This window comes from Homo sapiens, chromosome 6 (genome assembly GCF_000001405.40).
Source record: "Homo sapiens chromosome 6, GRCh38.p14 Primary Assembly".
NCBI lineage: Eukaryota > Metazoa > Chordata > Mammalia > Primates > Hominidae > Homo > Homo sapiens.
Genome location: NC_000006.12, coordinates 105,420,898 through 105,446,016, shown reverse-complemented (window position 1 = coordinate 105,446,016; position 25,119 = coordinate 105,420,898). Strand labels below are relative to the sequence as shown.

Sequence of the window (25,119 nt, the reverse complement as noted above, 5' to 3'; positions counted from 1 at the left end):
AATAGTTTCTTCATTTTGTTTTCTCTTTTTCTTCAGAAGAGATGCCATCTCTTATTTTTAAAATCTCTTTTCAAGAATCTAATTTTATATTGCCCTCAAGACCAAAAACATGTCAATTTAGCAAGGGAAGATGTTTAATTGCTTCAGAACATCCACATTTTGAAGAATAAACATGTTTCTTTTTCTCCTTGGTCAACTTGGCAGCATAAAGTAACTTATTTGTGGCTGTTATTTGTCTCCACAATTTCCCTTAATAGCAGGTTTCACAGTCTTTATATTCATGAAGTATTTCCTTATGTCTGGACCAAATCCCTTTTTGCTCTAATTTGAGGCCAGTGACTCTGTGGAGCTGCTCACAATTGTCTACTGAGTAGACAAACACTTGGAGTTTGTTTTGAAAACTCACTTTGGCCTTCTCTTTACTAGAATAAACAATCCCGAGCTTCCACAGCCTTCCTCAATGGCATTATAATGCACTCATGAAAATGTGCTCATGTCCAAAACTGGACATAGTTCAACAATCTTAGGACTAGTTCAAGAAATGCAATACAGAATTGATTTAATTTAATTTAATCCTCTGATCCCTTGTATTTGAATGGTACTTTAATTTACAAAGTACTTTTACAAACAATAGCTCATTTTATCTTGATAACAAATCTGTGAGATATGTATTAGTTTTCTTTTTCTTTTCTGATAAGGTCACTGAATCTTGGGCCACACTGCTAGTAAGTGGGAAAGCAGAGATTCAAGCCTCACTCCTCTGAGACAAGGTCTGTGGAATTTCTACTACCTAGCAGCTGCCTACTATGTGCAAAGCCCTGTGCTGAGTGTTGGAAAGGCTATAACTATATCCTATATATAAAGGATATAAAAGAGGTCTTCAAAGAGTTCATGGACAGCCTGGCCAACACAGTGAGAGCCCATCTCTACAAAAATTTTAAAAATTAGCTGGGAATGGTGGTGTACACCTGTAGTCCCAGCTACTTGGGAGGCTGAGGTAAGATCACTTGAGCCCAGGAATTTGAGGCTGCAGTGAGCTATGATCATGCCACTGTACTCTGTCTGCATGATAGAATGAGATGCTGTCTCAAAACAAGAAAAAAGAAAAAGTTCATAAAAATGCATTTTATGAAAAAACTGTATGTGTTTTTTTTGCACCAAAATAAACTTGAACCGACATGTTATAATATGTCTGAACAAGATCTTGTTTGAGGCACTAAGAAGAATAAGATATCAGTTTGAAAAGAACCCCTATCAGAGTAACATGAATTCTACCCAAATTGAAACAAGAGCAAACATCAAATTTATGGTAAAGCTTGGGTGGAAGAATGGTGAAATCACTGATGCTTTACAAAAAGTTTATGGATACAATACTCCAAATAAATCAACAGTTTACAAATAGATAACTCATTTTAAGAAAGGACAAGACAGTGTTGAAGATGAAGCCCACAGCAGCAGACCATTCCACATAAATTTAGGAGGAAAAAATTAATCTTGTTTGTGCCTTAAATGAAGAGGACTGACAATTAACAGTAGAAACAGTAGCCAACACCATACATATCTCAATTGGTTCTGCTTACACAATTCTGACTGAAAAATTAAAGTTGAGCAAACTTTCCACTCCATGGGTGCCATAACTGTTGCACCCAGATCAGCTGCAGACAAGAGCAGACCTTTCAATAGAAATTTTAAACAAGTAGGATCAAAATCCTGAGGCATATCTCCAAAGAATTATAACAGGAGATGAAACACGGCTTTACCAGTATAGTCCTAAAGACAAAGCACAATCAAAGCAATGGCTACCGAGGGGTGGCCGTGGTCAGTCAAAGCGAAAGTGGACCAGTCAAGAGCAAAGGTCATGGCAACAATTTTTTTGGATGCTCAAGGCATTTTACTTGTTGACTTTTGGAGGCCAAAGAATGATAACATCTGCTTATTGTGAGAGTGTGTTGAGAAAGTTAGCCAAAGGTTTAGCCGAAAAATGCCTGGGAAAGTTTTACCAGAGAGTCCTTCTCTACCATGGCAATGTTCCTGCTCATTTCTCTCATCAAACAAGGGCAATTTTGTGAGCGTTTTGATGAGAAATCATTGGCATCTACCTTGCAGTCCTGATTTGGCTCCTTTTGACTTATTTTTGTTTCCTAATCTTAAAAAAGTCTTTAAAGGGCACCCATTTTTATTCAGTTAATAATGTATAAAAGACTGCATTGACATGGTTAAATTCCCAGGACCCTTAGTTATTTAGGGATGGACTAAATGGCTCAGATCATCACTTAAAAAAGTGTCATGACCTTGATGGTGCTTACGTTGAGAAATAAAATTTACATTTTTAATTTTTATCTTTTAATGTCATGTTTCCATGAACTTTTTGAAGTCCCTTTGTGTAAACAGTCAATTCCTGCAGACCTGCTTCTAGAGACAAGGAAAAAGGTCTTGGGAAGAAAATAGAATGAACTGGACTCTGAGTGTTAAGTAGGTTTCAGGTATGTGGAGAAGAAATTAAGAACATTCCTGATATGAAGAACAGGCCTCCATGAAGGCATGTTTTGCAAGATCATTGCATAGTAAGCTTATGTTCTTTCACAGTAGAAGGAATAAAGGTGCCCTCTTTGAGAGGTGATAAAGTTTCATGATTAAGAACTAGAGCCATAAGTCTAGCGTGGTGGCTCACACCTATAATCCCAACACTTTGGGAGGCTGAGGTGGGTAGATCACCTTAGCCCAGGAGTTCAAGACCAGCCTGGGCAACATGGTGAAACCCCATCTCTACAAAAAAAAAAAAAAAATTACAAAAATGAGCCAGTCATGGTGGTACATGCCTGTAATCCCAACTATTTGGGAGGTTGAGGTGGGAGAATCACCTGAGCCAGGGAGTTCAAGGCTCCAGTGAGCTGTGATCACACCACTGCTGTCTAGCTTGGGCAATGAGAGTGAGACCTTGTCTCAGAAAAAAAAAAATAAAAAAAGGAAGGAAGGAAGGAAGGAGGGAGGGAGGGAAGGAAGGAAGGAAGGAAGGAAGGAAGGAAGGAAAAAGACAACTGGAGTTACAGAGTTACAGCTCATTCACAGGCATTTAAACCTAACCCTGAGTACTCCCAACAAAATGTGTCATGCATGTGAAAGCTTTCTACCATGTGTTCTTACCTATTCAGGGGACAGTGAGGAGAGCTTGTGTTGGAGAAGTGGAAGAGGCAAATATATTTGGCTGTGAGGTTGATCAGTGTCTCCATTTTGAGGTGGAAGAATATAGTATCACTAATCATCTTCATTGCCATGGGCAAATATAATCATGGTTGTGGTTTTCTTCCTCCAATGGGCTACTTAGTGCAATAAGAGGAATGTCATTGTTGAGTAAATGTATTAGTTTCTTATGGCTGCAGTAACAAGTCTCTGCAAAATTTGTGGTTGAAACAATGTAAATTCATTGTTTTATAGTTCTATAGAATAAAAGTCCAACATAGGTCTTACTGGGCTAAAATCCAGGGGTGGGCAGGGCTGCATTCCTCTCTGAAGGCTCTAGGAGAGAATTCGTTTCCATGCCTTTTCCAGCTGCCAGAGATTTCCCTCATTTCTTGGCTCCAGGTCTTCTGCCCTCTCTCCAAAGCCAGCAACAGCAAGCAAGTCATTCTTATATCACATTCCTCTTACCTACTTTACTGCCTCCCCCTTCCATTTTTAAGGGCCCTCGTAGTTACATGGGCCCACATGAATGATCCAGGATAATCTCTCTATTTTAAGGTCAGCAGAGTAGCAACCTTAATTCCATCTGCAACCTTAATTCTCCTTTGCCATGTAAGGTAACAGATTCACAAGTTTTAGGGATGAGGACATGGATATCTTTGGGGACCCATAATTTTGCCTACCAGAGTAGACAGTGATACCCAAAGACATTCCCAAAACCATTTGTTCAACGGATCCATTGATTAGTTAAGTTGTAAGGCTCTGTTTTGTCCAAAAATATCTATTAAAAATGGTCAAGCCTACCAGACACAGACACTTGGTGCTGGCATTTATCTGGAATAGCACCTCTGCCTACTAACTTGGAGAGAGGCAAGGAAAGAAGACAGAGAACATCAAGGTGTTGTATGCTATGCTTATCTTCTGCTGCCCAGCTTATGTTCTTTGCCTTTATTATGTGCACTTAAGGGCTTCTGCTCAGAAGGACCATTGGCCCACACTCCAAGGACTACTGAGAGCTTCTGTACAGAGCTCCGATGAGCTCTACCATGTCCATTTGCCATCTCCTTATTACAGCTAAAATGGGCTCCCAATAATTCCAGGCTTATCTTTTATTGGCTTTCCCTCTTTTCTAAGTATTGAACTTTCATTTCCAAAATGCCTCAGGACACCAGAACTCAAACTCTGACCTGATTTAAAAAAAACGAATACATTCAAACGTATTTTTAAAATTCAAGTCATGACTCAGCCTATACAGTTGAGTTGAGAATCTTCAGAAAGGAGTGGCCCTCTCCCTTCTCCCCACAAAAAAATAGGTTATTAGAGATATTTCAAGAAAGTTAAATTTAATTATAAAATTGTAGAATATAAATATACTTTAAAAATTCTAAAAGAACTTAATGATTTTTCCTCATTTATTCCTCTTCTGTATCAGAGAAACAATCAAATCACTTACATCAGTACGGGTGCAGTGGCTCAGGCCTGTAATTTCAGCACTGTGGGAGGCCAAGGAGGGTGGATCACTTGAGCTAAGGAGTTTGAGATCAGCCTGGACAACATGGTGAAACCCCATCTCTACAAAAAATACAAAAATTAGCTGGGCATGGTGGTGGGCACCTGTGGTCCCAGCTGCTCTGGAGACTGAGGCAGGAGAATTGCTTGAACCCAGGAGGTGGAGGTTTCAGTGAGCCAAGATTGTGCCACTGCACTCCAGACTGGGCAACGGACTGAGGCTCTGTCTCAAAAAAAAAAAAAAAAAAAAAAAAAATCACTTACATCAGAGGAAATTGCCTTGTTTTGATTTTAAGATTTTCATCCCATCAGAGGATACACCTCCACAAATTTTCTTGGCAATATATTCTGAAGTTTAACCGTTCTCCTGTCTAAAATCAATTCCTGGTCTAACCTAGTTTAAATCTATTTATTCCTTTATATTCATAGTAGAAATGTAGACAAATCTGGTTTTAAACTTTATCCAGAGGATGTATAGATACTTGAAGATGTTTATCACTGTTCATCTTTGCTAGGTTTGCCAGAATTTGGTACATATTTTGACAAAATTTGTGTTAACGGTAATGCACTGTAGTGTCTAATCTGGGCACAAATACTACATGTGTGAGTGCATGTCAGCAAGTGAGTGTGTGTGAGTGTGTGTGTGTGTGTTGTTGTTCTTTTAAAAACAGAAGAATCCCATCCATATGGAACATCTGGGAACCCTGTCAAATTCCTTTCTTTCCAAATCAAATAATCCCAGTCTCATTTAATTTTGTTTCAAAAAATTGTACTTATAAACCTCAAAATGAACCATTAAAGGAAGCAAGAATCACACTGGCACTCATGTAGATAGGCACCTAGGGCAATGATGTCGAGTCAAGCTTTCCTAGAAACAGGAAAAGAAATAAATAAGGTTTTTTTGTTTGTTTGTTTGTTTGTTTCTAGCATTAGAATTCTGTGGAACAGAACCAAGTATACCAACAGACATTTGAGTATCCAATAGATTTGTAGCACTGACACAGGATCTGTGGAACAGACAAGTAAAGAGTTTTGTGACCTGCTTGAAACATGCAAATAGAACTTATCTCAGGGGTGACAGTTCAGTCATTGACTGGGAATTTACTCAGGCTTCCCATTCACCCAGGACTTCAAATGTGAGCTTTTGGTGATTTTCCCCAAAGGGAGTCTCACAGATACATACGCATGATTGACAGAAGATATTTATCATTCAGTTATAAGCTTCTGTCCCATTACAGGCATCCTGCCTATAGTGCACTTTAAATTAAATACTTTTTATAAGTCATGTAATTATTTTATGAAAAGCCCAATTATATTGCATTAATTATGTACTTAAAGCATTAATTCATTAACAGTGAACATTTAAAATATATCACATTTTTTATAACCTCATTATAAAATTGGGAAGTAGCCTAGTGCCTCTCTCAACCTCTGGGAGACCCTATTTATATAAAATTCCATCTTGGCTTCTGAGCCTTTCAGTAAGAACCTGCAAGCTCCCATGTGTGGCGCTATGTCCGTGTCCTAAAAAAGCAGGATCTGGCTTTATTGGACTGACGCTTTGATGGCCTTTGATCAGGTCATTGTACCAGAGCAGCCAAGATATAAAGCAAGATGTGGCCTTTCAGTAACCTTCCTTTCTTGTGTGAGAGTAAGACAAGTTAATTGGGCTTGACAGTACAGATGACCCTTTCAAGTCAGGTAAAATGAGACTGTTGTGCTTATCACAGGTAGATAACCATTAATATCGCTTGTACTGTCTCTGGGAAGAGAAAGGGGCTTGTTTGTTTTAAATGTTTTTCAAGGAAGGCAACAAAGATTCCCGGGAAGGTTGCCTGGTCAGCTCCATCTAAGGAGACAATAGTGCCATTTGAAGGGTTCAAGACCCATTGAAAGGCAGAGAACACACTCCCATTGATAAATTATTATTATTGATAATCTCTTCTTTGTCCTTTATTTTGCATAATTGTCAAAGTTCAGACTGCGGGCCCTAGCAGATTATTTTAGACCTGTCTTTAGAAAGCTACCTCTGAAAAGGGAGTCTTTTTGTATCCTAATAACAACGAAATGTCCCAGGCAATCTAAGTTGATATTGTACTTTATTCAGCAATTTGTTTTGCTCACAATATATTATGGGACTGTTTTTTCCTTTGTATTAGTTCGATTCTCTTTATGATCAACAGCAGTGATCACACAAGTGTTCACTGAGGGAGAGGGCGGTCATAGGGGAAATCTCCCTCAGCAGAATATCATTCACTCTTCCACTAGGCAAAGTTCCCAGGGATGCAAGATGGCACCATTCTCTCCGCTTCCCTGCAGAAAACCAAAAAATTACAGGCCACTCTCAGGGAATCAAAGGCCCTTTGAGTTAGTAGGACGTTGGTACTCACCATTCTATTGTCACCAGTGTTGGCCCTGTTCCAGTTTCAGCCATTCAGAATCTAATTTAGAATGAAAGAAAGGGAGCCGGGTGCAGTGGCTCACACCTGTAATCCCAGCACTTTGGGAGACCGAGGCAGGGAGATCACCTGAGGTCAGGAGTTCAAGACCAGCCTGGCCAACATGGTGAAACCCTGTCTCCACTAAAAATACAAAAATTATCCCGGTGTGGTGGCCCATGCCTGTGTAATCCCAGCTACTCAGGAGGCTGAGGCAGGAGAATCACTCGAACCCAGGAGGTGAAGGTTGCAGTGAACTGAGGTCGCGCCATTGCACTCCAGCCTGGGCAAAAAGAGCAAAACTCCATCTAAAAAAAAAAAAAAAAAAAAGGAAAGAAAGAAGGGTGAAGAAGGGTGAGAGGGAGGAGGGAGGAAGGAAGATAATGAGGCTGGCCTAAGTCAAGTTCTTAGGCAGAGCCTACAGTGCGTTTCTGCTGTCTGTGAACACAGTCCTGTTATTAGGAACATGATCTATGGATTGATATCACGTGCCTTATGTTAGTAAAGGGAGATTTCTAAATTACTCCAAGATTTACCAATAAAATCAGAAATAAATCTGAGTTTTGTTGCTTACCACGAAGGGAATTACGTCATTATAGTATTGGCAGGGGGCTTCAGAAAAAGAGGTTCATCCATTATCATTCTAGGTTTTGTCAATTGGCAGCATTTCTTTTGAACAACTTGACAATGCATATCAAATACAAGGCAACATGATAATCCTATTTTTGGAAATATATCTTCAGGAAATAATTCAAGAGGAGAAAATGATATTACTGGAAATCTCCAAATAAAGAGAGATGCCTAGAGAAGCATTATACTATCTAAAACTGGAAAAATCTAAATTTCCAACAATAGAGGATAATTGAATAACAAAATATCAATGCTGTGGAATATTAGGCAACCATGAAAATAGTGTGATGATGTACATGGAAAAATATTTATGAAACATATAATGAAAAAATAATGTAAAATTCTATATACACAGAAGACTACTATTATGAGACATTTCATGTGTATCAAAAGGGTCTGTAAATAAATGAAAATAAATTATGAGTTTTTTTGGTCTTTCACAATTTCCTGATATAATACTTCAAAGCTGATTTAATCATAAATAATTTACATTAAAATTAGTTCCTGTTTAGTGAATGAGTGATTGTTGGCAGATATACATTTTCTTATATCATTACAGGTAGGAAAATAGTAGGAGATTTGTTTAGGCACCAAACTTATTCCATAAAAATTCTTTCATCATCAAAGCTGTACTTGATATGCTTGAAAAGATTAGGATGATAGATTCTGAGTCTTCCCTTCTTGGCATGATCAGAGGATAAAATCTTTTTTCATCATCTTAAAAAAACAGAACTACCATGTGCAGTCTCAGAAAAATGGTGAAATTGTGTTACATAGTTAAACGAACCAGTTCACACTCATTCTGAAAATTAGCTCAGAGCTTTTTGTTCCAAATTTAACAAACTAAATAAACTAAAAATATACTCTGAGTAGGTCATAATCATATTAGCCAAGCAAAAATTAGTTTTCAAGTTCTACATGTGACAGATGTGCTTGGATGGAAGACATTTGTTAACTTCTTTGTCGTTTATGGAGGTCTGTCCCTCTGTATCTGTACCATGGGTTCCTCTGAGGACAGATAATTTGCTTTTGCATCATGTATACCCCTACATTTCTCCAGCATCTAGAACATCATTTGCTAGATAGTTGATTAAATAAGTAACAAGTTAACAGTCCAAGCCAAATTTCAAACATGTCTTTTCCCCCATTTAATTGCTACATACTACGTTATAGTGGAGCATATTTAATAAAATAACACTATCATCTGTGATAGAAAGCCAAAAAAACAACATTTAATAATGGAGTCAATTCTACCACATGCAGAGCCAGGGAAGACTTCTACTTTTACACTTTATGTACTTCTGGATTGTTTTAACTTTTTTTACTTTAAAAAAACATATATTACTTCTGTAATTTTAAAAAAAATAGAATGAAAGGCTGAGAATATTTTGTTTTGTCGTAAACATTCACGCTTTAGGAATTTGTTGTTCCTAAAAGGGTGGGGACCAAAGAAAGTTTCAAAGATGCTGAAGCACAAAAACTGTTTAATGTAAATATTAGGATTCACATAACTACAACTTGGAAAAATGCTATTGATCCAGATCTCCCGCAATCCTTTGCTAAAGCAATGAAAAAGAAGCATATTTTCTTCCTATTTTAAGGCGATAGATTGTTTTTGCTAGACTGTGGGGGATGGGGAGAGAATCATGTTGTTTTGTACTTAAGTGTAAGTGTACCTTATAACTCCCTGCAAAAGAAGGGATAAAAAAATATCAAAGAAGAAGGACAAGTCATAGCCCTTTTCTTTTTTCCCCCAGAAATTTTATTCCAGGTTAGTAAGAACTTACAGGACAGTTTGCCACCAAACTTACCTAATAGTCTCAAAGCTGTGCCTAACATTAACGAGATTTTACTCTAAAATTCAATGGATGGTGACTTAAAAATGAGTTAAATCTTCCCATGTCTTAACAGTGGGTTGTGTAAAGTGATTTTCTTCCAAAGACTACTGAAAGGAGAGGGGGGATAAAAGTAACTTTACAGCAGAGACACCTGACAAACACTATCCTGACCAGATGCTCAAGGTTAACAGCAACAGTGATAAGTCTGGCCGATGGCGTGTACCCTTGAGATGAGGTGATGAGTGGGCCATCTCACCTCTGTGGTCTTTCTCCCCCAAACCCATTACTGCAGCCTAATCATAAGAAAAATGGGCAAATCCCAATGGAAGGACTTTCTACAAAATAGCTGACCAGCACACCACGGAACTGTCAAAGTTATCAAAAACAAGAAAAGTCTGAAAAACTGTCACAGCCAAGAGGACCCTAAAGAGACATGACAGCTAAATGTAATATAGTATCCTGGATGGGATCCTTCCTAGAACAGAAAAAGACATTAGGTAAAAACTAAAGGAAATCTGAATAAAGTATGGACTTCAGTTAATGTCAATGTATTATTATTGGTTCATTGTTATAACAAATATACCACAGTAAATATAAGATGTTAATAATAGGAAAAAATGGCTACAAAGTATATGGGAGTTCTCTTACTCTCCTTGCAACTTTTCTGTGAGTCCAAAACTATTCTGAAATAAAAAATGTTTGATTTTGTTAAAGTAAATGAAGTAGGAATAAGACCTGAACAATTTAATCTTCCAGTGGCAGGAATTAAAGATTTCTTTAGTAGGAGGCAGTGGTACACATCTGTAGTCCCAACTATTTAGGAGGCTGAGGTGGGAGGATCTCTTGAACCAAGGAGTTTGAGGCCAGCCTGGGCAATATATTGAGAACCCATCTCTAAATTAAGAATTAAAACAAAAAAGTTTTAAGATTTTTTTCAAGCATGCAAGTTCTGATTGTTTAATAAATATGCACCAGTCTTTGTGGATTACTCTAAAAATACTCTTTTATGATATACTCTTAAAATAAATTTTGATAAAACCATAAAAAGCTATATCTGAAGAGTGGAACAGATCTTTGAAATAGACTCATCTTTATTTTATGAATGAGTTAGTAAGAAGCTGATAGGCAGAGCAAAAAGGCAAACCCAATTCCCCTAACTCCACATCCCCAAAGTACGAAGACCCCTACCACAAAATACCAACTGAACACAGGAATCTATTTCTAAGATATCTATCACTCCAATCACAGTCTGCCAGAAATTTGGTATAATTGCCCAATATTTTCCAATGACTTAATTTAAAGTAATTCTAGATATCAGCATAGCTGAATAGAATACTTTAAAAATCATGTCTATGTCTCAATTCTTTGCTTTAAGGCTGCTCTATAGCCCTGGAGTATCAGAGCAGGTACATCCAGACTGCCACTGCCTCAAAGTGTGGGCAAGTTTTTGACTTACATCCGGGAACATCCCAGAGAGAGAACGTTCTTACCATACCTTTCAGCCATATGTGCCCTGCCTCAGTGACCACAAAGGGATGTCAGATACAGTAGTAGCTACAGGAAAAGAACATGCTTTTTCACTTTCCCATCACTTCTTAGAGTAACTGAGAATCTCTCATGATGTAACTAAAATGGCTTAATCAAGTCCATCTCATAGGCAAGATTACTAGGTTTTATAACACCTCAACTCAAGAGCTGAGCAAATCCATTCTAGAGACAAGTCAGGTTTCTTGACTCTCAATCTGGTACTCTGGATACTAAGTTGTACCCAGAGTTTTATTCATTTAAATTGTTGGAATCATTGTTATTGAATCCAACATTTCAAACAAATTAAAAATAAATCCAACCATTAAGTTTCATGAAAAATATGCACAATATCAAATACTGCATTCAAAGATAGAATATGTTCACCAATAACTACATCTGAAATATTAGAACTATCCTGCCATTCAGCAAAGATGTATTCATCCTTACTGAGAGATTCTCTCTAAATTATTTTAGCCCATAAAAGGGGATAATAGTGTCCTTAAATCTTATTCTAGAATATTATGCCAACACAAAATACAGTTGTCCTTTGGTATCTTCAGGGGATTAGTTCCAGGACATCCTTGGGTACTCAAATCCACAGGTGCTCAAGTCTCTTATAGAAAATGGTATCGATATCATATTTGCATATAACCTACACACATCTTCCTGTATACTTTAAATCATCTCTAGATTACTTATAATACGTAATGCAATGTGAGTGCTACGTAAATAGTTGTTATACTGTTTTGGTTTTTATTTGCATTATTTTTTATTGTTGTATAGTTATTTTTATTGGGTTCTTTTCCAAATAATTTCAACCCACAGGTGGTTGAATTCATGGATGTGGAACCCATAGATGCAGACGACTGACTGTAATGTAGTATTTTCACTGAGGAAAGACACACTTCAATTTAACATTTTTCCACAACTCCCGGCCCTGAGGGAGAATAAGTAGCCACTCTGAGTTGGCTGACTCACCACAACCATTCTAAAGTAGAAGAAATAGTCACATTGACAGGATTCACTCATGGATCAAGGAACAGGTACCACACAGAGTCCACTATGATTGTGTGTCCTGTGCCCCAGCTTCTTAAATACAGGCAGTCAAGACCGTCTGGGAAGGAGAGGGTCAAAGAGTAGCTTATTATGCTACTGCCTACCTTTTCTACTTGACGGCACACTGTCCAGTAGTAGCTAGATATTTACAGTTTATTTGGTCCAAAAAAACAATAATGAGCTCCCTCTAGGTAGAAGAAAAAAATTATTCTATATCAGGCAATGAAAGTTAGCTTAGGAAAGAATTTCAAGAGACATTTTCTTTCAATGGTATCATAATATTGTATTTCTTGTGATATACTGTAGCCACTTAATAATTACCATCCTCAACTTTACTACCCAAAGAGAAATCACTGGCTGAGAGGAGCAATTTGAAAGCAAGTGTGCAATTTCCTACCAATGTGTATTTTATATGTTTGAAGTTGTAAAAGTTGGGCATTATATACAGAAAAGATGGCACTTGGACAGGTAGATAGCCACAGTGTTCCACACTCTAGACCAGTGTTATCCAGCAGAACTTTCTGTAATATTGGAAATGTACTATATCTTTGTTGTCCAATCTGGTAGCCACTAGTCAAACATGGCTACTAAGGACTTAAAACGTAGCTGAAGCAACTGAAGAACTAAATTTTATTTGTATTTAATTTCCATTTGAAAGCCATAGTGGCTAGTGGGTACCTCACTGGGCAGTGCAGCTACAGACCAATGGGTTATAACCTCTCTGCAAGAAGTAGGAGGAACAGTCAGCAAGGATCAGGGTAAGAGCCAGTTTAGGTACAAAATACCAAATGTGAAGTCCGGAGAATGTGGGGCTTTGTGCCAGTCATTTCACCATTAAATCTCTTCAGCTGTAAAATAGGAATTTGTGACTCATCTAAGAAGAATGTACTTACTTCTATAAAAGCTTAGGAGCATTTTTCAGATTTTTGTATGAATCATACAAATTGACCAACAAGATCGTATCTCTTATTTTTTCCACTCTTTGTCTACTATAATGTTGATGATTGATGATGGTGGTTGATTTAGACTTATGCGATTTTTATAATATAAAGAATTTTATAAACATTGCTAATAAATAATGTAATTAAATCTCCAGATCAAGGGATCTGATATCTTAGTAAATTAAAGTTATTTGTTCACATAAATTTCTCTTTTGTCCATACTAAGGCTAAGTAGAGATGTCAAGGAGGCAGTTGAAAGTACAAGTCTGTAATTCAGGAAAAGCTCAAGATGATAGCTTGTATACCCTCTCCAGTTTTAATAGAGTAACATAGTATCTAGGTATTCACTTTATTAAAATTATAAATTCCTGTAAGAGACTATGCCTGCAATATAGCTCCTATCTTAGTCTTTTCCATAGCACTTTTCTCAGTTTCATATATCATTGTTTTGCTCACAATATTAAATGAAATGGAATCAAGTTTGCATTGACAATTTAATAACATATCCGTATATATTTTTACATTTGTGTTCTAGTTCATTGCAACAAAACCTTTGGCTAGCAAAAACTTTTCAAAGTTCCAAAAACAGCCCATTCATTTCCAACTGTTAAAATTAGAAAAATGCTAACAAATAAAGTTTTACATTTTTCAAAAGTTCTTTGGAATTCATTTAATGTGATATGAGCTATGGTAAAATGTAAAATGTAATGATATTGTAATGTTGCTATGTATGTCAGCTTTTTCTCAACACCCTTTACATAAGAAACTGCTGCATGTGGTGGCTCATGCCTGTAATCCCAGAACTTTGGGAGGCCTAGGTGGGTGGATCGCTTGAGCTCAGGATCTCAAGACTGGCCTGGGCAACATGTGAGACTCCAACTCTGCAAAAAATACAATTAAACTCGCCGGGCATGGTGGCATGCACCTGTGGTCCCAGCTACTTGGGAGGCTGATGTAGGAGGATTGCTTGAGCCCGGGAGGTTGAGGCTACAGTGAGCTATGATTGCACCACTGCACACCAGCCTGGGCAACAGAGCAAGACCCTGCCAAAAAAAAAAAAAAAAAACTTATACAACACTTAAAAAGGAATTCCTGAAGTTGTTAGTTTATCCTTCCACATTTAACTTAAAAATAGATATAAAAGACCTGTTCTGAAATATCACTTAATATGGCAGTTTTACTATCCTAAGACCTCTACCCACATTCAAAATGACTGGAAGAAAAGTATTCAGCTCAATGGTTTATGAAACATGCCCATTTTAAAAGCCCTACTTTTCAATTCACTTGATAACATATATTGTACATACAGTCTTTCTATCATGAAGCATCTTTAAATATGGAGATTATGGTTTTTTCATCATATTTAAAATGAATACAATTAATTAAATGTTCTCTGAAATTCTGAGGATTAATCAAAGGCAGCTAACATTCTTTTCTTGTCACTAAAAATTGGGTTTTTGCTGCCACCTGTTGACAGTAATTGCAAATGATAAATCTTGTCTCCACAAATCGCAAACTTGCATGCTTGAAAAAGTCCTTAGAAACATACTACTTCCTTCATTCTATGCATGATAAAAGGGCCTAGCAGGGCCAAGTGACTTTCCCAAGGTCACTCAAAGGGAGACAGATCTGAGGCAAGAACATAGGTTTGGGGGTTCGGGCCTTGGAGTGCAGTGTTGATTTTCCCATGCCCCTTATTATCGAACTTATGTAGGTGGCAGAGCACCTGAAGTGCTCTTTACACAACACCATGAAATACTGACGTGTTTCAATCCATTATATTAACTAGTAATATTTTTTTACCATATTATGAAGGAACAATTCTATGGCTGTCTAATGTGACATTCAAACAAGTGCGGGTATGTCTGGCCGAAGGGGAAGGTGGGTCCACCAGTTGGCTGTTTGCATGAGCAATTGAACAGCCTTCTGGGAAATAACTCATCTCTATGAGAGAAGAGAGTTCAGGCCCACAAGTCTGACCCAAGAGGACACAGAAGAGCCTGCGCAGAGGTTAATGTGTTTCAGAGTGGCTGAGGGCTCATGATTGAGTCTGAATGAGAAACAGCTGGAACAAGAGTCAATAAAAACTAAAAGAGTGCTTCACACTTCTTGAGGATACTGTGGGTGCTGGCTTCCTAAGTGAAAGAAGATAGCTCCTCTGAGGCCTCAGTGGATTTCACAGGCACCATCATCACTCTGGGAAGGGCATAAGTTCCTTCAACAGCAGCATCAAAGGGTGGCTTACTGGGGACTGTTACCTTGGAGAGTCAGGGCAGGGACAGAGCACGCATGGCACCTGGCTGACCACATTTATTAGTACATAGTAAGCATCCTTGTGACTCCTGGGATTAGTTCAGATGGAAGACTCTGAAATGGGCTTAGACTTCTCTCAATTGCTGATGGTGACATAGCTGGACAAATGCTGTTTTGTTTCTATTACTCTGAACACCAGATCTGTGCCACAGAATTGGTGCTTATCAATTTGCACATTACAAAATATAATGCTGAAAATTTGTAGATTTAAAAAAAAAAAAAACTGGTAATCATGATTAGCTAATCTAAAGGAAAGTTCTTTGACCTTAAAAAAAAAAAAATCTCTCTAAGCCTTGGTTTCCCTATATATAGAATGAGTAAATTATTAACCTACCCTTCCAACCTCCCTGAAATGTCTGAGAGAATGTTTTAAAACTGTGATACTTACTCATATGGACGGGAGTGTTTGTTAATTTAACCTATCCTTTGCTGAAATGTCTGAGAGAATGCTTTAAAACTGTGATACTTACTCATATGGACGGGAGTGTTTGTTAATTTAACCTATCCTTTGCTGAAATGTCTGAGAGAATGCTTTAAAACTGTGATACTTACTCATATGGACGGGAGTGTTTGTTAATTTAACCTATCCTTTGCTACTTATTGATATGCAGTTAATTGTGAACATGTGTCTTCCTTTGGCCAAAAAAACATGAGCAGAGGTGACACACCACTTCCAGATAGAAGCTTTCCAAGTCAGTATGTATTTCACCACGTTCTCTTCACTCTAACAGGATGCTTACGGAACACATTAGGATGGAGCCTCTGTGGATCTGGATCTGGTCCCTGAGTGACTCCACATGTGCTGAGCCACACTGGACCTGGAGCACGAAGGAGAAACACACTTTTGCTGATTTAAGCCACTGAGATTCTGGGATCATTACCTCAACATTACCTGGACTATCCTGATTGGTCCTAGGGCCTTGCCACATCTGGGATACAAATGTAAAATTTAAAGAAATAATCCCAGTCAAATCGAGGTGAATGAAAGAGGGCTTCTTAGAATAAATGTTTTAGTGAAATCCTTAAAAAAAAAAGACTAAGAATAAGAGATGGCATTACTAATGGAAGAACTACTATTTCATATGGCTAGCTTAATTTGAAATATGGCTAAGAATCAGGTGGTCAATAATAACAACACGATGTTTTTAGACAATATTAAAATGCAAATTTCTCATATACTATAATGCTTGAAATGGCTTTAGAGGAAATCAAGTCCTTACCTGTATTTCTATGAGGCTTATATATTACATGAAGACAGAAATAAAAAGCCCTAACACTCAGAATTCCTTTTTATTTATTTTTTATTTGTTTATTTTCCTTTTCTTCCTATTTTGCTTATCATGACAGTGAAGATCTCTATAAATCATGAGCGTAGACATATGAGTTTTAAATGTCTGGATTTGGACAAAAAGGAAACAAACCCAAGGGACATACACAAATAAATACAAATTCATCAACAAATTCCCCATCCCTCCTCACCTCCGCTCAATGTCGGTTTTAAACTCTTGGTGAGGAGTGGTATCTCCAACTCTTGATTCTAGCACTTTCATCCTCTCTTTAACAGCATTATAAAAATGACCCAGAAGACACTGCTGAGTGAAAGCGTACCTTAGCAGAGTGACACAAGTGAAAGAAAAAAAACATCCAAACAATGAGGCCTTTGATGGAGAGCCCTGAGATTTCCTAATAGCAAATAGGACTAATCGGTGGTTATGAAAGTGGTAGCCTCAACTCCCATTAGAAAGAAACAACATGCAGGCCTCTTTCTGTAACTCCCAGAGAGAAACCCTGGGGAGAGTGGTTCACCGGGCTCTCCAACCCAGACAGGTCAAACTTCTTTGCCCTTCCTGAGTGCAGTATGAAGAAAGCATCAACACAAAGGAAATATTTTTGTTGGCAGTCAGATCAGAGCATGCTGACATCCCTGTTTTTAACAATTCCCTGGTCAGCCTGGGTGTGGTTACTCTTTTGAAAGTTTAGTCTTGAGGAAATAGGTCAAGGGAGCCAGTGTTGTTGTGTTCTCCTGAGCGTGACTGAATCCTTGCATTCATTACGTGTGTGTTGCTTTGGAATGAGTGTCTTGCTGAGTGCCACCTACCAACCAGCATTTCTGGCTTCCCCAACTGACCAGCAAGGTCGGACTCTCTCCTTAAAACAGGCTGAGCTGGGCAAGCAAACAGCCTGTTGTGCTGAGAGTCAGAGGAGATTGATCAAACATGAATCTTAGTTGAGGAATGACAAGTAGCTAGGGTTGAGATAAATAATCCAAGAGGCCCTGTATGTATTTGCATAAGGGAAATGGAATTGAAAGAAGACCAGGACTACGAGATAAGCAGAGGCAACTAGAGAAAGGGCTCTTAGAAGGAGTGAGCAATGGTTCTGATTCATAGCCCACCAGCTCTTCCCTCCAGCACTGTGGCAGACACTATTCCCCAAAATCCATTTTCTCTTCTTCCTGAGCACAAAACTGGGCTCCATTTTCCAGGGTACTTTGCAATATGGTGTAACCATGTGACCGGTTTCTGACTAATGGAATGTGACAGAAGCAGTACGTGCTACTTTCAGACCTGGCCCATAAAAGCCACTTACTTACAATCCCGTTTCTCTTTCTAGTTTCCTGGGGTGGTGATGCTAGAAACAATGGGTTAAAGATAGCACAGCTGCAGTCAGCCGGGGTCTCTGCAAAAAGCAGAGCCCACCTTCTCCTCTTCCCATTTCTAGCTGCTGACTTGAAACCACTCAGTCCTATGAAGTGAGAAAGAAATAAACTTTCTGTTCTCTAAGTCATTGAATTTGTAGATCTTTGTTGCAGCAGCAAGGCCTACCCTGCTTATAATTTGTATCATGCCTGTGACATTATCTGACTCACACACTATAGGAGCCATTTACTATAAAGCCAGTGCATATCTCTCCTAGTTCCCTATCATCAATGAATATAGGAGACTTGCATGATTTGACCAATTTTCCTCTCCAGCTTCATCTCTCCTGACTCCTACATTGCTCTGTAGGCTCTGATATGGTTTGGCTGTGTCCCCTCCCAAATCTCATCTTGAATTGTAGTTCCCATAATCCCTATGTGTGGTGGGAGGGACCCAGAGGGAGATAATTAAATCATGGGGGCGCATACCCCCATGCTGCTGTTCTTGTGATAGTGTGTGAGTTCTCACAAGATCTGATGGTTTTATATGGGTTTTTTCCCCTTTTGCTCTGCACTTCTTCCTGCCACCATGAGAAGAAGAATGTGTTTGCTTCCCCTTCTGTCATGATTGTAAGTTTCCTGAGGCCTCCCCAGCCATACTGAACTGTGAGTCAATTAAACCTCTTCCCTATATAAATTACCCAGTTTTTGGGTATGTCTTTATTAGCACCGTGAGAACAGACTAATGCAGGCTCCATCCATACCAAACTCTCACACTCCTTCACATACATCCCTTGTACACAGCCCTCAGCATTTCCATAGGGTGCTCCCTTAAACTCTGCACCTAGCTGCTCACCCCCGCTACTTCTGATCTGTACCTCGTTACTTCTTACTCATTTCTCAAATTCAATTTAGACATTACTACCTTGGGTCACCCTTCTCTATCCCTCCAAGACGAAGTTAGATGACATCTGTGCTCCCACAGCATCCTGTCCTATAGATCCAACTGCACTAGATTAGAGTTACCTCCCAAATCCAGGCTCCATAAATCTCTAGCTTCTAGCATGGTACCTGGAATGTGGTAAGCACTCAATAAATATTTATTAAATGAAAGACTTGCTCCTGAAGTGGCCATCGAAATCCTAATATAGTAATCTGAGATCATGTTTGAGCACAAGTCAACATATGTTCATCTTTTTATAATTCCATGTTTAATTCAGTGTCCTGTGTATAGGTGTTACCCATATATATCTGTTAAGTGACTACCTTTTTTGAGAAAGACTTATATTTTTGTTTGTTTGGTCAGTTGGTTCTTGAGACAGGGTCTTGCTCTGTCACCTGCGCCTCAACCTCCCAGGCTCAAGTGATTCTCCCACCTCAGCCTCCTGAGTAGCTGGGACCACAGGCACATACCACCATGCTAGGCTAATTTTTTAAAAATTTTTATAGAGACAGGGTCTCCCTATGTTGCCCAGGCTGGTCTTGAACTCCTGGGCCCAAGTGATCCTCCCATCTCAGCCTCCCCAAAGGCTAGGATTATAGGCCATGCCTGGCCATATTTTGTTATTAAAGGGAAAACTCAAAGTGAAATTTTGAGGCCTGATGCACTATTTGCATTTTATCCTTAAAATGGCTCTTTTATCCATTTTCCAACATGTACTTCCATATGCATAAGAAGCATGATTTTTCTTATAAGTGATAATTAGAAAAACCCAGAAAGATCAATTTAAATAAAACAATTAAATACATATAAGAAATGGACGTGCCTTAAAACTGATATGAATAAATCAGAAATATTTTAGGCAAACAGAGTAACATCCAGTCAAGTTTAGAATTGGGGGCTAAAGTGTTCATCTGAAGGATAGAAGATTTTAGTGGGATGTCAAATCCTGTAGGCCAGCAAAATAAAAAAAAAATCTAATCAAGAATTCTTAGACTTGTGAAAGCTTGTTGGAAAGAAGCTAATGGCAATGATGGAAAGGTATGTAGGTATACAGCCACAAACACACAAAACCAAATGTTCTAAGAGAATAGATTCTGAAGAGGTAAGTCAAGAAAGGTAAAAAAGGAATAGAGGGCAAAGAAAATTCTTTTTTTTACGTTTTTTATTTTATTTTATTTTAGGTTCTGGGGTACACACGCAGGATGTGCAGGTTTGTTACATAGGTAAACATGCGCCCTTATGATTTGCTAGACCTATCAACCCATCACCTAGGTATTAAGCCCAGCATGCATTAACTATTCTTCCTGATGCTCTCCCTCCATCCATGCCCTCCACCCTGCCAGGCAGGCCCCAGTGTGTGTTGTTTCCCTCCCTGTGTCTATGTGTTCACATTGTTCAGCTCCTATTTATAAGTGAGAACATGCAGTGTTTGGTCTTTCTGTTCCTGTGTTAGTTTGCTAAGGATAATGTCTTCCAGCTCCATCAATGTTCCTGCAAAGGACACGATCTTGTTCCTTTTTATGGCTGCACAGTATTCCATGGTGTATATGTACCACATTTTCTTTATCCAGTCTATCATTGATGGGCATTTGGGTTGATTCCATGTCTTTGTTATTGTGAATAGTGCTGCAATGAACATACACATGCATGTATTTTTATAATAGAATGACTTATATTCCTTTGGGTATATATCCAGTAATGGGATTGCTGGGTCAAATGGTATTTCTGGTTCTAGATCTTTCAGGAATTGCCACACCATCTTCCACAATGGTTGAACTAATTTACACTCCCACCAACAGAAAAAAGTGTTCCTATCTCTCTGCAGCCTCACCAGCATCTGTTGTTTCTTGACTTTTTAATGATCACCATTCTGACTGGCATGAAATCATATCTCATTGTGGTTTGGATTTGCATTTCTCTAATGATCAGTGATGTTGAGCTTTTTAGATAATCCTATTCTTAAGACTTTGAAGTTTTATGGCAAATTTTGTGGTGCCAGATAAATCCTTAATAACACACCTTGTGTTTGTACTGTACTGTGATGAGAGATTGCCTTATTAGTAGATAATATTTTTAAAAATATTTGTACGTGATTTCTAAAGCAGACTGGAAGCAGACAGTCCTGGGTTAAACACACAGGATGAGTGATCTTGGCAGTTGTAGGTGGTATGCACCAGTGATTTCATAGGAACAGTATTCATCAGAATAGACTGGAAGCAACTGGTATCACTGCAGACTTCTAGGGTACCTCAGGGAATGGTTTCCTAACTCTTTTTAAGGATCTGGGTGACATATTGGCTAACGTACTCGAGGACCAAGAAAGGATCCATGGCTTAGAAACAAGAGTAAACATCAGATATTGGCCGTAGAATTAAATGTCACTGAAAAGATTAAGCCAGGAGCCAGGGAGTAACCTTAAGCAGAGAAGTCTCCCTTTCCAAGAGCCTCATGCTACATTTGCAGAAACTGTCCAAGAGCCTAAGCATCTCTAAGTTCTATATGAATAGGAAACTTCACCAGATAAGGAAAGGAAATCAAGTGCTATAGAGATTGATGAAGCCGTTTATCTAGGGTGAACTTCAAGTACTTGGCAATGGGAGCCCCCCATTTTAGGGTAAATCCGAGTTCAGACCAGCAGAGGGCAGTGTAGCAAACTTTGAAACCTCAAACGGCTGGGACTTAAAGAGAGTATGAATCCAGTACTGAGGGGCTGTTAGTGAAGAAGGGATGAAGGACTATCTGTGGGATCAGGGCTGCCTTGAAAAGATAAAGAAATGGTCAGCACTGCACTCCAGCGTGGGCAACAGAGAAAGACCCTGTCTACAATACAGTACAATACAATACAGTACAATACAAAACACACAGAAATGATCAGGAGTGAACCTACACTTGTGATGTGTAGGTATGAGAAGTGGAACAATTAGGAATTAATCTCCACTTCATTTCAAAGAAGATGGATCAGTAAGCAGCTGGTCCCTTTTTTCTGACTCCAGGAACAGGAAAAGGACCACAACAAGTCACAGTCACTCTTTCGGGAATCTGCAACTGGCACCCCCGATTCTTCTGCCCAGGTGAAATCCTAACACTCAGCTTTCTCCTGCACACCTCTTCTTGATATAGGCTTGACAGGGGGCTGGCACTGTGGTGCTGTGGATCATGAGAAGCCCTTACCTCCCCATCTGCTGCCAGCCCACATAAATGGAGAAATAGCCCACCCTGTTCCAAGGTGGAGAGGACATAAAAACATTGCTTCCTTCCTTACCCACTGGAATTCAAATCATTAGGCTTCCACTTTTAAAAGTGTTGGTATATTATGAGAAATTTGTTTTGTCTCCATATGTGGGTTAGAGAAGGGGACAAGTGAACTATTTTTACTGTGAGTTTTTTCTTTGAGTTTATTGCCCAGTCTAAGCTGTAAAAAGAGGTCCTAGGGGGCATTCAGAATTGCTGTCCCTTAAGCCAGTAGATGGCAAGTGCTGAGAAACACTGCAACTGTAAGACACCAGTATAAACCCAGAAGCCTCACTCCACTAACTCTTGGAAAGAAATGTGTGCAGAAAGACATCCTGAAGACCTGAGTGACCGCTCAGTGAGGGGTCAAAGGAGCTTTCCTACTGGCAGGCTATGGAATACTTTGTCTATAAAAATGGAGATTTCCTTACATTACATGGCAGTTAGCATGCTTACTAGTGATCCACCTCAAGCTTTTACTACTGCAGAACCACCTGTGCCTTGCTTTCTTGCTGGTCCCTAAATAGCATGTCATGGCAGATTGTGAATGCTTTAAGTTCTGTGAGCAGTAATTACTCAGGACCTTCTCCAAGTCCCTCTTTTCTGTTTTACAGTTCACAATTCACAAAAGCTTTGATTTTCCAGGCCCCAAACTCTGGATCTCATACCCTAAATTTGGTGTCTGCCTTTGGAACTTTCAGATTTGGCAGGTTTCAAACCCTAACCAGGTTCTTGGATCTTGGTCCCATAGCATGGCTTTAAGTATTGTCTCCAACCTAAAGGGTGTCCTATTGCCTCCAAGGAGGGCCCCTCGTTCCCTCTGCCACATGTAACTGGCCAATGAGACCAGCCTCTGGTCCCCAAGACCTCCAAAGGGAACTTTGAATTGTCAGCAGCTCAGCGGGGTATCTAGAGAAAACATCCCCTCCATTATATGACAGATAAGTTGACAAAACAGGCCCACAGAGTAGTCTTAGACCACTTGTATCTCTGATACCAGGGTTATGCCAGAAAATTCAAGATCAATTAAACATGAATTTAAAACAATCCATGTCCACCATGACTTTCTGAGTGGACAGAAAATAAGAAATCAATAAATACTGTCTGAGGTTTAAACTTGTACTTAAGTAAGAACACACACATGCACACACATAAGAACATTCCATAAAGACTATAGCATTATGATTTTATATGTACTATTATTTATTAAACTGATGCTCCTAAAAAAGTAGAGGAAAATGCAGTTCTGTTTACTTTTCATAATATTACCTCCAAAGAGCTCTTTTGAGAACTAACATCTCTAGATTTTTTTTTTTTTTTTTTTTTGAGATGGAGTCTCACTCTGTTGCCAGGCTGGACTGCAGTGGTGCGATCTCAGCTCACTGCAACCTCCACTTCCCAGGTTCAAGCAATTCTCCTGCCTCAGCCTCCCAAGTAGCTGGGACTACAGGCATGCGCCATCACGACCAGCTAATTTTTGTATTTTTAGTGGAGACAGGTTTTCACCATGTTGGCCAGGATGGTCTCAATCTCTTGACCTCGTGATCTGCCCACCTCAGCTTCCCAAAGTGCTGGGATTACAGACATGAGCCACCACTCCTGGCCTAACATCTCTAGTTTTAAAGAAAAGTCTATCTGAAGTTTCAGCAATTCCATCAGTTTTACTTTTTCTTTTTCTTCTGTTAAAGTCAAGCAAATATCAATACAGATGTTCCTCAACTTACCATGAGGTTATCTCCTGATAAACCTGTCATAAGTCAAAAATATTGTAAGCCAAAAATGCATTTAATACCCAGATATACCCATTGTAAAGTCAAAAAATGATAAGTTAAACCATCATAAGTTGGAGACCATCTGTAGTTATTATTTAAAAATAGTGTGTATAATATAATCCATTGTGTACATACTCAACAATTTATTCAATCTACTATTGGTGGACATAAGTTTGGTTTCTAGTTTGGTGCTATTATGCACAAATGCTGCCATAAACATTCTTGTATGTATATCCTGGTGCACATGCCCATAAGCTTCTCTTAAAAATACCTGAGTGGGATTACTGATGTAACATATATGAATCTTCAACTTTACTAGGCAAAGCAAAACTGCTTTTCAATGTGGTTTTACCAATCTACATTCCTTCAAGAAGTGCATGAGAAGAATCTCTCTTGTTATACATCCTTCCCCTATACTTGGTATTTTCGGAATTATTGTATCTTTTTTTTTTTTTTTTTTTTTTTTTTTTGAGACGGAGTCTCGCTCTGTTGCCGAGGCTGGACTGCAGTGGTGCAATCTCCGCTCACTGCAAACTCCACCTCCCGGGTTCACGCCATTCTCCTGCCTCAGCCTCCCGAGTAGCTGGGACTACAGGTGCCTGCCACCATGCCTGGCTACTTTTTTGTATTTTTAGTAGAGACGGGGTTCACCGTGTTAGCCAGGATTGTCTCGATCTTCTGACCTCCTGATCTGCCCACCTCAGCCTCCCAAAGTGCTGGGATTACAGCTGTAGCCACCACGCCCGGCCCAGAATTATTGTTTCTAATCTAGTGGATCTGTAATGATACCACACTGTGGTTTAAATGTGCATTTCCCTGATTCCTAGTGAAATTAAGTACTTTTTCTTTTATTTTTTTAATTATACTTTAAGTTCTAGGGTACATGTGCACAACGTGCAGATTTGTTACATATGTATACATGTGCCATGTTGATGTGCTGCACCCATTAACTCGTTATTTACATTAGGTATATCTCCTAATGCTATCCCTCTCCCCACCCCCAACCCCACGACAAGCCCCGGTGTGTGATGTTCCCCTTCCTTTGTCCAAGTGTTCTCATTGTTCAATTCCCACCTGTGAGTGAGAATATGCGGTGTTTGGTT

The 25,119-nt window shown here is 38.9% G+C and overlaps 1 annotated feature.

Annotated features, from left to right (window-relative positions):
* Positions 21,547-21,596: an enhancer, noted in NCBI's record as "active region_24869". NCBI's record gives its function as "activates an Ori minimal core promoter by ATAC-STARR-seq in GM12878 lymphoblastoid cells {active_cell/tissue: GM12878}" and the evidence as "EXISTENCE:reporter gene assay evidence [ECO:0000049][PMID:35858748]".